This window comes from Homo sapiens, chromosome 4, assembly GCF_000001405.40.
Source record: "Homo sapiens chromosome 4, GRCh38.p14 Primary Assembly".
Lineage (NCBI taxonomy): Eukaryota > Metazoa > Chordata > Mammalia > Primates > Hominidae > Homo > Homo sapiens.
This window is the reverse complement of record NC_000004.12, coordinates 187288290-187304659: the sequence shown is the minus strand read 5'-3', so window position 1 is coordinate 187304659 and position 16370 is coordinate 187288290. Positions and strand designations below refer to the sequence as shown.

General features: G+C 39.7%; 1 long non-coding RNA gene across 1 annotated transcript in view; it reads left to right on the top strand.

Moving 5' to 3' along the window:
* LOC339975 (uncharacterized) overlaps positions 1–577 on the top strand; it is a 201531-nt gene extending 200954 nt beyond the window's left edge. Inside the window, exon 5 of the long non-coding RNA NR_038931.1 lies at positions 119–577. This is a non-coding gene — a long non-coding RNA (uncharacterized LOC339975). The remainder of the gene's footprint in view (positions 1–118) is intronic.
* The last annotated feature ends 15793 nt before the right edge of the window (positions 578–16370 follow it).

The window sequence follows — 16370 nt, the reverse complement described above, 5'->3', positions numbered from 1 at the left end:
AGAGGAGGAGACGGAGGCAGAGGCAGGGCCACCCAGAGGAGGAGACGGAGGCAGAGGCAGGGCCACCCAGAGGAGGAGACGGAGGCAGAGGCAGGGCCACCCAGAGGAGGAGACGGAGGCAGAGACAGGGCCACCCAGAGGAGGAGACGGAGGCAGAGACAGGGCCACCCAGAGGAGGAGACGGAGGCAGAGACAGGGCCACCCAGAGGAGGAGACGGAGGCAGAGACAGGGCCACCCAGAGGAGGAGGCGGAGGCAGAGATTGGAGTGATGCTGAGACAGGCTGGGCCGAGGTCCGCCAAGGGCTGCCAGGCAGCCACCAGAAGCTGGGAGAGAGCCAAGCAAGGACCCCCCGCTGAGCCTTCCGAGAGAGCGCGGCCTGCTGACACCTGGGTGTCAGACTTCTGGCCTGCAGACTGTCAGAATAAGCTCCTGTTGTTTTAAGCCACCTGGTTTATGGTAATTTCTTGCAGCAGACCTAGCAAATTAATAGACCCCATAGTCCTGTAATTCATTTTGCTTAAACGAGCATGAATAAGATTTAGTTTTGCTAATAAATAAAAGTTACTTCACTAAGACAGAGGTTATTTATACATAGAAGTTATTTTACTAACAATTTAAAAATGTCTTACTGTTACTGTCTGACAATTAAAAATATTCTTAAAAATAATGTGAAAAATAATCAATAAACTATTGATTTCTAACAAGGAGGTAATATACAAATGGGATGGTAACCCCCATAATTGTATGTTTGGCCTTTTGACATCAGTCAGCATCCCATATGAATATCTCCCCTAATATTCTAAGATGTGAAGATACTTGCATGAGCTTAGTTTTTAAAGTTTTGCTTTCTAATCCTTTATGGTAATGAAAATTGCTTTTCTATATATACCAGTAAAAGTGTAGTATAATTCTATAGAAGAGCAAACTGAAAACAGAAAAAAAAAAGTCATCTGATAGGAGAGGGGAAAGGAGGTACTAGGTTCTTGGAGCGTAGGTAGGCCACCACCCCGGCCTCCTTCACAAATTGACGTGAATGATCTCTTTGGCTGACTGACTAACTGATCCTCTAGTATTGGGGGCTATAGTGAAGAGATTCTACCTCCCCCTCAGGGACATCCAAGTAGTAACTCCACACAGACCTAGGAAATAGACCAACCACTGGAGGAAGAAATTATTTAGCCCAATGCTCTCAGTTTACAGAGAGAAAGCTAAGGCTCAGAGAGGTGATGTGAATTCCCTATGGCTGCAGAGCTGCTGACTGCATCCTCTCTGCTAATAAATACAGGAATAAGGGAAGAAGCAGCAGGATGGGGCTACTTGGAAATTCACAAGCCTGCTGAGGAAAAGAAAAAAAAATCAAAACAGCCGCAAAAAACAAACACGACAAGATTTTAAAATGCTATTTTGTGGTCATTGGAGGAAACTCCGAATTCTGCCTTCAATTCAATCTCTCTGTCCCTGAAGTGAATAAGAAAGAGAAGTTCATGTTTCTTTTGAAAGCTATGTTGTCTGTTCAGCAAAGTCTGAATCGTAAGAAAATTAGGTTCTGCCCTGCCTCTGTCTGTATTTTCCAGCTGGACCTATATTCCCAAGCAATGTCACACATCTGCAAGTAAATTAATCCAAAGCAAAATAACATGGAGTTTATTTAAAGTTCAAGGCATTTCTTGAACATAAGCATTTGGTCCAACGGGTCACTGATTCCATTTTCAGTGCACTGATAACAAAATTCATATATATTTAAACATTAAAACAAAAAAAGGAAAACCTTTTACTTGTTTTATTCTTCTTATCCATGACATTTCTTGAGGGTTTAGACATTTGGCCCCTAATTTTATTTTCACTTCATTGCTCTGACAGCCGAGCTGCATAGCTTGGCATTAAAACAAAAATCAGTCTGTGTGGTTGCAATATACAACTTCCTTGGTGTGGGAGGGCCTGCAACGTCTGGTTACTTCCTGCCCAGCCATCTTTGTTGGTTGCACTGACAGGAAAGGTCATTCAGCTTTGTGATGAAATATAAATTTGGGAGAAAAGAAGGAATCTAATTATCTGGCCTCAGAGTCCAGTGGAGTGAAGATGAGCTGGATAGCTGAGCTCTGACTTGAACGTCTGCCCTCTCCTCACACCAGCACAGGAATGTCAATTGGCGAATGCTCCTGATTTAATATTCTTGCTCTTACTCAAACAGGAAAGCAGTCTTTCTTTTAAAGCATTGCCACTGTGCTTTCTGTAATCTTTAAAACTGTTCACTTCTAATCACCTCTTGAATCCTGAAATACATGTTCACATTTACCGATAAGATCTTCCTCCCTAGCAGAGACTGAGTGTCTTGGGCTTTCTTGACTAATGCTACGTTGGTCACTGCTGTGGTCTGAGTGTTTGTGGCTCCCCTAGAATTCATGCTGAAATCTAGTCACCAGTGTGAGAGTGTTGGGAAGGGGGGCTGTTGGGAGGTGATTAGATCGTAAGGGCGGAGCCCCCATCAGTAAGGGGATCGGTGCCCTGATGAAAGAGGGCCCAGAGAACCGCCTCGCCCCGCACGCCGTGTGAGGATGCAGCAAGATGGTGCTCTCTGTGAACAAGGAAATCGGCCCTCCCACAGACACGGAAACTGTCAGGCCTTGATTTCGGACTTCCCGCTTCCAGAACGGTGAGAAATAAATTTCCGTTGTTTATAAGCCACCCAGTCTATGGTATTTCGTTATAGCTGCCAGAACAAACCAAGACAGCAGCACTGCTTCCTCAGGCCATTAGGTGAGAGTGCAAATCTCAGCAAATCAATCCTGGCTTTGGTTCCAATCCCTTGCGAACACTTTTCAGGTCAGAGTTTTAGACTCCAAGGAAAGTGGCGGCTTCGTCCTGCCTTCCCTTAGGCGTATCTATGCTTGCTGTTATTTCTTACAGGGAAGTAGCAACTTACACTCAAATCACTTACTTCTTTGAGAAAAGTATTGAATATTCCCTAAATCTTTTGTTATCCTATTTGGGGACAGAGGAAGGAGTCTGTTGGCTTCAGAGCCCAAACAGGAGCCATTGTATGGCTATTTTCTTAACCATATCTGAAAACAAAACACCAGCCATTGCCCAGAAGTGTCTACATTAGCTGAGTTGCTAACTTGTGAATGAATTGTGTGTATTTTGCATTGTTAATGTAAAGAAAATCTAAAATTTAAATATTTGCGCCCTAAAAATAAGCAAAAAAAAAAAAAAAAGAAAAGAAAAGATAATCAGAAAATAGAAAGGAATTTGAAGAAATATTTCTACAAGGTTTTATGCAAGGCTGCAGGTAAAGCCGTATGGACTGTGGTTGAATAGGCTCCATTCAGATAGGCATAGGTGCCATTCAGATAGGCATAGGTGATGATGTGAATGGTTCTCCCTGGAGAGTTGTTTGATGCAGTGGCCCCACCCATGGGGCAGGAACTTTGGGTAGAGTAGCCGAAGGAGTAGGCAGGTAGCCTGAATGACAATTCATTGAAGAGCTTGGCTAGAACACCTCAAAAGCTCCCTCAAGTCTGGTAAGGACCCTTCCTCACCCTGGAATTGAAAGTGTGGAGACTGACAGGTATTTTTCTCCAGCCACTCATTGTGCTCTGCTTGGAGTTAGCTTTACTCAACATTTAGCACCCCCAAGACTATATATGTATGTTATTGACCTCTTCTCTCCACCCTCGTAGATGCCAGCCTTTCCAGCTTATTGTCATTATTTATGGCTCTACTAAGATGTAAAACTGGCTTCAGAAACACAAAACAAAATAATGGGGATGGAGAAGTCAGAGACAGAAGTCAGTTCTAACCCATCCTATGGCTCCCTCTCCTATGGACCAATTTAGAATTATTTTCTTATATAAAGTGTTTTTGTGGTAATGTGAAAATGCCATTCTCTACAATGTGCAGACACACATGCGCAATACATACATACACACACGCACACACAAACACGCACACACACGCACACAAACACACAAATGTGTCCACATAGCAAAAAGATTGCTTGGTGAGATGTCAGTTTGCTGAATTAAGTGTATATTTAACGCTACCTCAACTTCACATTAAGGAGACTTTCATGCCCTTTATAGAGACAATATTCAGTACAGTCTTTCCTAAGTTTATTGTAATGGGTTATATTTTAAACAAAAGGGAAAAGTAGAAATGAAAAGAAAGAAACCGAAGCTGAATTGTAGATACAAAATGGAAAGAAGAAAATCATTTTTACAAAGTAAGAAATATCAGAAGGTATGAATTATGAGTCAAAAATAATTTGACAAAATTGCAACTATTTCAATAAATTTTTAAAAACCTATCAAGCATGAGGGAAATGGGGAGCACTAGGTTCTAGTTATGAATCTTTTTCTAACTAATCATATAATTAATTACCTGATCTCCGGTTTTCTGTTATGACATCAGAAATGGACTAAGACAAATACTATTCTGTGGGAGTTGGCGTGGAATAATGTGAAAGACATGAGTTTTGAAGGCAGAGACACCCAGGGTGGAGTCTAATTCCATTAACTTCTCTGATGATTTTCTTTACCCTTCTCATCAAAAGCATACTGTATACTAATCATCTAACTAACCAAGAAGCATTTATTGATAACCTACTGTCTATGATATGGCACCAGTCTAGGTAATATGTGGGGGACAAAGGCACGTAAGACACATGTGTCAAAGAAGGGAATGCATGTCACTAAGTAGATGGCACAATGCAGGATCACAGTGTAGAGACAGAAATACATAGAAAACACTTCAAGATAGTAGTAACATGAAATACATTAAAAAAACAAGTAGATTAGCCATATTACAACATAGGGATTGCATTGGAGAAGGTGAGTAGGGGGAGAAACAGATTTAAAGTGAGATATGGCAAGACTGTAGAAGACTTTGAATGCCAAGCTAATAAATGAGGGTTTCAGTAAATAGGTAAAGAGATATAAGCAAATTGGTCTTCTAAAAGGCATGTCAGAAGCATGCAAAATGGATTGAATTGGTGAGAAAACTCAAGGGTCTGAAAATAGTCTTTGGCATTCAAGGGCAAGTTGACATTCTCACCCATCAGTTTGACAGGTGTGAATAATCATGTTGTTATGGAAATGGCATAGGAGATTAAAATCATCAAAATCAAATATCCGTATATATTTTTATCTCTATTGCTATTGTATTACTGATGATAAAACACTTTTGACATATGATTTCTAATAAATGGAGCAATTAACAATTATTTTATGTCTAAGCCCACAATATTCATTAATTTCCCCAAAAGGTAATCTTTCTTTCTTCACAGTTGTGATTAAAAATAAAACCTCTGAATTCATTTGCCAAGACTATATAAAGGCTTTTCTACTATTTTCCCAGATGTGTAACCTTTGTTTCTCTGTATGTTTAACTTCTATTCTTTCTGACAATTTTATAACTAGCTGGAAATCTAAACATTTCTTTTCCCTCAAGAAATATGTTAAACTGAAAAAACATGATATCTAGGCTTTGAACAAGACAAAACAAACCAACCTCAAAATATTCATGAACTTCAGATCACTCAAAATTCACAAATCTGTATACATTAGGCTGCAAGAATTTTAGCAATATATGTAATATGATATGCCGTCTGCTTTACATCTAGACAAAATAAATAGAAATTGTAATGGTTTTATGGAAATCTTAATACACAGGGACATTATAAGAGACATTAGTTTGGAAGTCTGTTACAAACATTAAAGCAGCAGCTTCTATGTGACTTTTGCATTGAAGAACCTGACTCAAATACCTGGTGGGTATCCATGATTACATCTCTATTTTCTCAAGCATCTACAATTAGGACAGTGCCTAGAAAAGAGAAAATTTGGTTAATTTTAATGCATTTTTTTCAGTCACCACCACTTCCAATTTGTATATAGACTCTACACATGAGCCTCCTCCTTTACTTATCTTTAAATATTGAATTTTCTCACGAGTAGGTTTTAAGCACTCTTTTCTTACACATATGTACTTTTTCGCAGTTGATCTCACACACTCCCATGAATGTAGATCTATCTACCATCTATAATCTGATAAATGCTAATTATGTCTTTAGCTCCAACTTTCCCCCTAGATCTAGGCTTATATCCAACTATTTATTTGAAATTTATGTTGAATGTCTCATAGGCATTTCAAGTAGCCTTAGATATCCCAACATATCCCAAGTACATTCTATGACTTCCCTCCTGCCCTCGCCCAGCAGAGTCATCTTTACATTTCAGTAAATAGCACCATTATCCACTTGGTTACCAGGCAACAACCTAAAAGTCACCTACTTCCACTCCTCCCTTCTCCCATCCCTCACCTCCTCTCATCAGGCTCTCTGTGACACTCCCAGATAGATCTCAGACTCACCTCTTTCTACCTGCACCCTCACCACCATGATTCAAGCCAGATTTCTCTTGCCCAGATCATTCACTAACTGATCTCCTAGTGTTTAATTTTACCCTTTTCAATCTATTCTCTTAAGTGACAAAAATAAACTTTTAAAAATGTAATTCATATCCCAGGAACAAAACATGTCCCAACCTAACATCTTTCCACAGGTTTCCATGACACATCGAGCCTTTGCATGGCCTGGCTTTTGTTCTCCTTTCCAATCACGCATTTCCCCAGCCACTGGCTCACTGCAGCAGTCACACTCCAATCTCCCCCATTGCTGGGCCTCCAAGGTTTCTCTTTTCCTGTGCTTTCATGTGACTGGACTTTTCTCATCCTTTATATCTCAGCTTGAACCTCCGTGGAGGGCTTCCCACTTGCAGCCATCTAAAGTAGCTTCTTCCATACTCTATTTTAAAGGCCCCATTGTTATTACATAAAGACCCAGCATCCCCATTTGTGTTCTTTATAGCACTTTTCATAAACTGGATTTTATTTTGTTTATTCAACTACTTGTTTCTCTTCCCCAAAATAATGTGAGTTGGGATCCAGGATCTCTTCAAGTTATATTCCAGTACCTGTGGCATAGAAGATGATATGGTTTGGCTGTGTGCCCACTCAAATCTCAACTTGAATGGTATCCCCCAGAATCCCCACGTGTCATAGGAGGGACCCAGGGGGAGATAATTGAATCATGGGGGTGGGTCTTTCCCATGCTATTCTCATGAGGGTGAATATGTCTCAAGATCTGATGGGTTTCTCAGGGGTTTCCACTTTTGCTTCTTCCTCATTTTCTCTTGCTGCCACCATGTAAGAAGTGCCTTTCACTTCCTGCCATGATTCTGAGGCCTCCCCAGCCATGTGGAACTGTAAGTCCAATTAAATGTCTTTTTTTTCCCCAGTCTCAAGTATGTGTTTATCAGCAGTGTGAAAACGAACTAATACACTAAATTGGTACCAGTAGAGTGGGGCACTGCTGAAAAGATACCTGAAAATGTGAAAACAACTTTGGAATTGGGTAGTAGACAAAGGTTGCAACAGGTTGGAGGGCTCAGAAGAAGACAGGAAAACGTGGGAAAGTTTGGAGCTTCCTAGAGACATGTTGAATGGCTTTGCCCAAAATGCTGATAGTGATATGGACAATAAACTCTAGGCTGAGGTGGTCTCAGATGGAGATGAAGAGCTTGTTGGGAACTGGAGGAAAGGCGACTCTTGCTATGTTTTAGCAAAGAGACTGGCATCATTTTGCCCCTGCCCTGGAGATTTGTAGGACTTTGAACTTGAGAGAAATAATTTAGGATATCTGGTGGATGAAATTTCTAAGCAGCAAAACATTCAAGAGGTGACTTGGGTGCTGTTAAAGGCATTCAGTTTTAGAAGGGAAGTAGAGTATAAAAGTTTGGAAAATTTGAAGCCTGACTATATGATAGAAAAGTAAAACCCATTTTCTGGGCAGAAATTCAAGCCAGTTCCAGAAATCTGCATAAGTAACAAGGAGCCTAGTGTTAATCCCCAAGACCATGGGGAAAATGTCTCCAGGCCAAGTCAGAGACCTTCATGGCAGCACCTCCCATTACAGGCCTGGAGGCCCAGGAGGAAAAAGTGGTTTCATGGGCCAGGCCCAAGTTCCCCATACTGTGTGCAGCCTAGGGACTTGGTGCCCTGTGTCCCAGCCGATCCAGCCGTGGCTGAAAGGGGCCAACATACAGCTTAGACTGTGGCTTCAGAGGGTGAAAGCCCCAAGACTTGGCAGCTTCCACCTGGTGTTGAGCCTGAGGGTGCAGAGAAGTCAGGAATTGAGTTTTGGGAACCTCCGCCTAGATTTCAGAAGATGTATGGAAACTCCTGGATGCCCAGGCAGAAGTTTGCTGTGGGGGTGGGGCCCTCATGGAGAACCTCTGCTAGGACAGTGGATAAGGGAAATGTGGGGCTGGAGCCCCCACACAGAGTTCCTGCTGGGGCACTGCCTACTGGAGCTGTGAGAAGAGGGCCACCGTCCTCCAGACCCCAGAATGGTAGATCCACTGACAGCTTGCACTGTGCACCTGGAAAAACCACAGGTACTCAACACCAGCCCATGAAAGCAGCCAGAGGGCAGCTGTACCCTGTGAAACCACAGGGGCGGAGCAGCTCAAGGCCATGGGAACCTACCCATTGCATCAGCATGACCTGGATGGGAGACCTGTAGTCAAAGGAGAACCATTTAGGGCTTTGAAATTTGACTGCCCTGCTGGATTTTGGACTTGCATGTGCCTTGTAACTCCTTTGTTTTGACCAATTTCTCCCATTTGGAATGGCTGTATTTACCCAATACCTGTACCGCCATTGTACATAGGAAATAACTAGCTTGCTTTTGATTTTACAGGCTCATAGGCGGAAGGGACTTGCCTTGTCTCAGATGAGACTTTGGACTGTGGCCTTTTGGGTTAATGCTGAAATGAGTTAAGACTTTGGGGGACTGTTGGGAAGGCATGATTGGTTTTGAAATGTGAGGACATGAGATTTGGAGGGGCCAGGGGTGGAATGACATAGTTTGGCTGTGACCCCACCCAAATCTCAACTTGAATTGTATCTCCCAGAATTCCCATGTGTTGTGGAAGGGACTCAGTGGGAGGTAATTAAATCATGGAGGCCTGTCTTTCACATGCTATTCTTATGAAAGTGAATAAGTCTCATGAGATCTGATGGGTTTACCAGGGGATTCTGCTTTTGCTTTTTCCTCATTTTCTCTTGCCGCCACCATGTAAGAAATACCTTTCACCTCCCGCCATGATTCTGAGGCCTCCCCAGCCATGTGGAACTGTAAGTCCAATTAAACCTCTTTTTCCTCTCAGTCTTGGTTATGTCTTTATCAGGAGTGTGAAATGGACTAATACAGAAGATAAGACAAAAATACTCTGGAGTGAAAGAATAAATGCCTAGATGAATGAAATTTGTGATTTGAGTTAAAAATGTCAGTGGTAGTAAAGTTATACATTCCCTTCTAGAACTCCTTTCTGAGAGCTTAGTCATTAGAATGGTCAAACAGCCACCATCTTGAAACAAAGCTCTTCCCAGAGTCATAGTACTGGGAAAAAGGGGATAAAATGTTTCTGTGGGAAAAAAAAAAGAGGCCATTTGTAATAAGGTTGCCACAAGTCTCTGGCTGTTTCAGAAGGAATCGGCAGTCTCCAGTTGAATCCAGGCCAAGGATTGTAAACAGGGTGTGGTAATGTATCTTACGAATCATATACATTGGCCAAGCTCCAGGAAGACAATTCTTCAACTGCTGCTTCTAGTATATTTGGATATGAGATAGTATCATTAGTCTTTTTCTTCCTTTCAAGAATGTCACTGTCTATAATTTTAAGAAAATTAGTTTTTTATTCTTAAAAATGAGCTCGAATTTCATAATCCTCCAATTTAATTAAGTGTGAATTAAATAGTGCTTTAGAATGATGTCATAATTGGGAAATTTATGAAACGCTACAGTTTTATTAAAATGTGCTACAAAAATTACCATTGTAATTAAAACACTCAGCTTACCCTGGCATTGCAAAGGAGATCAAACTAGTAACACACATTTATAATGCTAAAATAAATGCATAATCTTTGGTAGTTCATTTTGTAATTTGGGTGCTGAAACTAAGTTTCTTCTCAAAGGGGGGAATTTTTTTTTTATCTCTAACATAATTTCTATTCACTAAGGTTTCAACTACACTGCCAAAACTCCAATCGCCACTCATTTGGAGGATGATGTATTTTGCTTACTGGGGCAGACACAAAGCTCTATGTTTACACAAGGTATCTGAGCTTTGCTTTCAGCTAGGGCAGGCCATACAACTGAATTCCATCCAATGTGATATGAGTGGGAGTGATATATACTACTTTCAGGCCTGACCCCTACAATGTCTCGCAAGATGTCCTGTGATTCCATATCTGCTGGGAAAAGATAGAATCTTTCAGTGGAGGGTTTCAAGGATTTCAGGTCCTCTCTGTGGAAGGAACCTAAGTCCCTGAGTAACTGCTTGGCAAGCCTCCCCCCTTCATTCTGACCTTGTTGATAGCCATTGGACTCTAACGGCTGCAAGAATCAAACCTTTATTTTGTTAAATAATTGAGATTGTGGATGTGTTGTTATAGCAATTGACCTTTTCTGGTAAATACAACTGTAAAACCCAGTTTTTGTAACTGTTCAAATAGAAGTTGTGACCACTTTTTGTTTTAATTATATGATTATATTAGACACCGTACCAAGCACTTTATGTAAATTATTTTATTTAAATAGATGGAGATAATTATTTAAGTATATTTTACCAGTTATTTGTATTATTTTATTATTAACTGCTTTATTTGGAAGAATGCAGTTGCTGAAGTCAGACCAATGTAGAATAAATGCTGACTCCATTACTACTCCTGGTTTTGTGGCCATGCAGGTAACTGAAATGCACCTGTGAGACTTTGTTTCTTTATTTGTAATATTGACCTGTTAATACACAGTATACTTGGTTCTCGTAAGAATTAAATAGAACTTAATGCAAAATGCTTAATATAGGACCTAACACACTCAATGAAGAGTGACATAGAAATATGTGGTAGCATGCATATAGTAAAGCAATTTTTATTTCTCAGAATATTTAAAAATCATAATGGGAAAAACCATAAGGGAAATAATATGCCAGATGACTGATGTCTTTTAAAAGATACTTTTGATCAGTTCATTTCTATAACAGCAGAATTGATTGTATCAAAAGAGCTTTTCAGACGTATTAACATGGGGAACCCCGATGTGTAAACAAGCATCAAGTATAAGGAATCTGTCAGAACCAGCAACAGACAAATGAACATCTTCCAGCAGGCTTCCTTTGATTTCAGGGAGAATTTCCTCTTATTTATGATTGTATGCCCTAAAGGAAGATCCCAATATTTAATGACAAATTGGAAGAGAACAAAGAAGGAGATTAACAGTCAACTTACAAGAATGAAACTAAGTAAATGTAAATGCCCAGTAGGAAAAAAATAGGTTCTGCTATTATTTAGGAATCATAATTTATGAGTCAGTTGATTTTTTTAATAATTAATGAAATTATAACAAAATACTGTCAACATTCATAGAAGTATAAAATGTTATTGTAATTTCTAAAATCTTATAATGTAAAAAAATCAAACATTCTTCCACAGTAAAGAAGCTATTCACTCTGTAAATACATGCAGATCACTGAATATTTTGCTTTTAAGTAACAGAATACCTTTTAGGACCCTTGAGAAGTGTGTGCTGTTGCATATATATTTATTTTATTTAATTAGTCCAGAGCATTCATCTTATATATTTTCATTGAATTCTTCTTTAAGAAACTTAATCAAAATTTTCCTTTCATCTTATAAAAAAAGCACACGCAGATTTAAAATTAAATTTTAATAATATCATTAGTTCTATAATATTCAGGGATCAAAAGGAATTTCTCTCCTGTCTCCCTCTCTCTCTCTCTCCACTCCCTTTCTCTCCCTCCTCCTCTACCCCTCCCCTCTTCTCTCTCCCTCCTTCCCTTCCATCTTTGTTTCTCTCCACTATTAGACGATCTTAACTGTATGCACAGTCAAGAATGATTGTGTTTCTTACTAGGTTCTCACTAGGTACTTTAGAAATTCTGAATCTAACAATAAGTTCTCATTTCTATCATTAATTGCATTTATGAACTAGATCTAAAATTTCTCATCATGGTGGAGAATGATGGTAGCAAAAAGCCTTTCAACAACACAAAACAAGAGAACCTGGTCTGTAAGGTCAGTATTAGTTTCTCCGCCTCAAGCAGAGGGTGCCCCTCGCTCAGCTATAATTATTATGAACCGCTGTTCCAAGACTTCAGGGAAGTTATCCCAGTGTAGGACTTAGGGTTTATGTTGCGGATGGTACACATTCTTCTGTCTTATGATAGAAACACAAAGGAACTCTCATGATTTTCTGTCTCTGCAGTGAGTTATGGAACATCCTCTCTATGGCATGAAAAATTTTCCCAAAATAGAACTATTCCTTTCAAAAGCAGATACCTTATGTAGTCAGTTTCTTCTCCAAATCTCCCACATTGTGAGGTTTCCATCGAAAACTTTCCCCGGGGCATCAGTGATTCATGTGGATCACATAATTCCTCCTAATTTTTTGTAAAATTTGAATTTGTGATGCACTTGGAACAAGGTTAGCAACCACATGGCTAATCAACATCAGAATTATTTATAAAGAAATTCTGGAAGCCAGACACTATACAGATAACTAGTTATTAAAACATCAAAACAATTTCTATATGTCAAAATTATTTTCACTACCATGGTTCTCATTAGAAATTGAGAGAGCAAAATTTTATTATAATCAAGAGATTTTATGGTCTCTTTCCTAGAAGAATTAGAGATATTTGATTTGTGTTTAGAAATGGAAAGTCTCTCAAAAACTTTTATTACCAACAATACAAAACTAGCCACAAAAATAATATTTGAAACATCTTTAGAGGATTTCCAGCAGGCTCCCTCAAAATCACTGAGCTTAATCTTATAACTTGATTAGTTGAGAGATTGATTACATATTGCAGAAGGTTGTATTAGGTTGATGCAAAAGTAATCTTGGTTTTTGCCATTACTTTTAATGACAAAATCTTTTGCACCAACCTAATAGATTGGGTCAGATATGGAATCTGGAATTTAACCTGAAAGAGATACAGAGGAATATGAATGCGTTAAAATGGGAAATGACATAAAATATAAAAGAGGCAGACTTGGGGGAAATATGTCTCTGATGATAGGCACTTCCTTGAAGCCCCAGAGGTATCGCTGCTTCCAAGCTTATAGGAACCACCTGAGGTCACTTTCCAGCTAGCGCAAACTGAGCTTCTGTGAACCATCACCAGGGCCACTGCTGCAGGTTGGTTTTGCATGAGGCACAGGGAGATGACTGCAGGCCTTCGAGGAGAGAGCAATGCCCACACACAGGGCAAGGGAGTAAGGGAGAAAGGAATTACTCAGCTGAGAGCTAATAAATAAGCAGGCACTAACTGGGGAAAAAAGAGTTTTTCCTTCCCAGTGGATCGAACACGACCTGCCAAGACCCTGTAGCCTGTCTTTGCTAAAGAGAACCTGGGTAGCTGGAGTGAGGGGTAAGAACAAGTGTGATTTCGGTGCAGCCACAGTGGTAAACCACGTTAAAGAGGCCACATTGAAGAGGTTGTTTTTTTTTTAATCCTGTTCTCAGTACAAATCAATAACAGCATTTTAACAGGGGAGTGGCATAATCAACTTTTTATTTATGAAGTATCACATGGGTACCACCTTTGGGCTACTACCACAAAATACCATAGACTGGATGGCTTATAAATAGTGGGAATTTATTTCTCACAGTTCTGAAGGCAGGGAAGATCAAGATTAAGATCCCAGCATGAAATAGACAGCCATCTCACTCTAACTTCACATGGCAGAAGGAAGAGGCAAGAGAGCTTTTCCAGGGCTTCATTTATAAGGACACTAATCCCACTCATGACAGGTCTGTGCTCATGACCTAATTACCCCCTAGACAGCCCTCCCAACGAATACCACCACCTAGGAGTTAGGATTACAGTATATGAAATTGAGGGGGTAATATGGTTCCACTCTGTGTCTACACCCAAATCTCATCTGGAATTTTAATCCCCATGTCTTGGGGGAGAGGCGTGATTGAATCATGGGGGCAGTCTCCCCCTTGCTGTTCTCATGACAGTGAGTGAGTTCTCACGAGATCTGATTGCTTAAAAGTGTGTGGCACTTACCACTTTGCTTTCTCTCTCTCTCCTGCTGCCATGTAAGATGTGTCTTGCTTCCTCTTTGCCTTCTGCCATGATTGTAAGTTTCCTGAGGTCTCCCCAGCCATGCGGACTGTGAGTCAATTAACCTCTTTTCTTTATAAATTACCCAGTTTCAGGTAGTTCTTTATAGCTGTGTGAAAATGGCCAAGTACCGGGGGACACAGACATTTGTACCACAGCGGATACTAAATGGAGATTGTATGGAAGCTTCAATATACATGATCTAGTAAAGGTTGATAGAGACATAATTTGAAATGAAACACATAAAGACTACGTGATCCATTTTCTGAAACTATGGCCTCAATTCAACAGCTTTGACCTAAAAGAATCAGAATTTACTCTTTAATGCTAACATCCACATGCTGGAAATGCTGATGGTTTATTCATAGTTTGTTTAGTAACTAAATATGACACTTGGTAAGATTTCATTCATAGTATCTAAAAATAAAAGATATCAGAAAGTACAACCATAGCATTATCAGAAACAGCATTGTTTTAACTTTCAGAATTTAGCTTTTAAAGAAACAAAGCATAAAATCTATATGAGCAAAATAAATATTTTATGGCTACATTCAAGGAAGACTGATCTTAGGCTGATTACCTTCTCTCTCATAAATATTTGCAACTCCCTAAGGACCTGGAGTTAGTCTGATATTGATGATTTCCTTAAGTGATCAGTGCTGTACTTTCCAGGCTATAGGGGCTCAGTGAGTACTTTCTGACTTAATGAGTTTCCTAAATACTAGCACATTCTACCTCAAGAGCATTATGCTTTAGTGGTTGGGGTAATGGCCATGCACTAGATGTTTTCTGCTTTAGAGAATGGAAATGTCTAAACTATTATGTGCCAGCTTTAGTAAGATGAAAAGAATTTCCTGCCTAGTGAAAAATATTTTTCCTGTAAAATAATTGATTCTCACTGAAATTCATATTCAAAGAAGTAGGAAGCAGAGAGTCAGTCATAAGACTGGAATGGCTAAAAAGAGGCTGTTGAATGCACGACTGATTTACAGAACTTGGACTCGAGGTGGAAGTTTAAGGACAAGATGTTTTTTCTCATGTAATTTCCCAGTGAGAGGGTATTTACAGAGTGCCCAGGTGTTACTGAGCTGATTGCATTTATTAGGATGACCTGACATGCCAGGGAGCTGTGATGTGGGGCACAGTGTGACCCAGTCTCTGAGACCTTTGGAAGTTCTCCCCTGCTGTCCTGGAAGCAGAAGTAAATTTCAAGAGAATTGGTGCTTTTACTTTGGCCTTGCAATATCTGCATCGGGAGGTAGGATCCCAGCCTTCCCTGGCCTGGAAGACTTCAACAGGGGCAGCCTGGCCCCAGGAAAGCTCAAGGAAAGGATCATAGGTCCAATCTGGGCCATCCCACTCTTAAATCACACCCAGAGAATCTCCAGAGTTGAGTATCCTCTAGGATCTAAGCACTCTAAACCCTAAAAATATATGTTGGAACAGTCGCATACTCTTCATTTCACAGGTATTTATTATAGTGTTTGCAATAATGGAGTTTCCCTTAGAACCACTAATTATCCCAAGTTAAATTTTTATCTCTTTGACCTTCATTCCCAGAAGTAGATTATTTGCATCTCTAGGGCAAAGGCCTTGAGACCATGGGGCCAGTGTATCTTTTTTATTGTTACCCAAGTACCTTCTGGGGCATTATGAACATATGCATTCTTTAAAAAAATTTTATTATAGTAATTTTAAAACAAACAGGAAAACAAAAAATATACTACAAAAAAACCTATATACTCACTATCCAGAGTCAACAATTATTGATATTTAGCTTATGTAGATCTGTACGCTATATGAGTAGGGTATATATTGTAGATCTATACTCTATATGAATATCCATATTTATATTGCTATTCCTATCTGTTTGCTAAATCATTTGAAGTTACTTCCAGATGTCCTGACACTTTCTCCTGAATTCTTCAGTATGAACAGAAGTGCTCTCCCATGAGATCGCCATGGCTTTATTGTACCCACCCCACAAAATCAGCAGGAATTCCCTAATACCAGATACGTGGCCCAAATTCAAGTTTCCTCAATGTCTGTTTTAACTCTTGTTTTCTAAGCAGGATTCGATCAAAAAGCATTTAATACATTTTTTTGTTATGTCACTTGTCTTTTTAAGTCAAGTATAGTTTTTACATCCTTT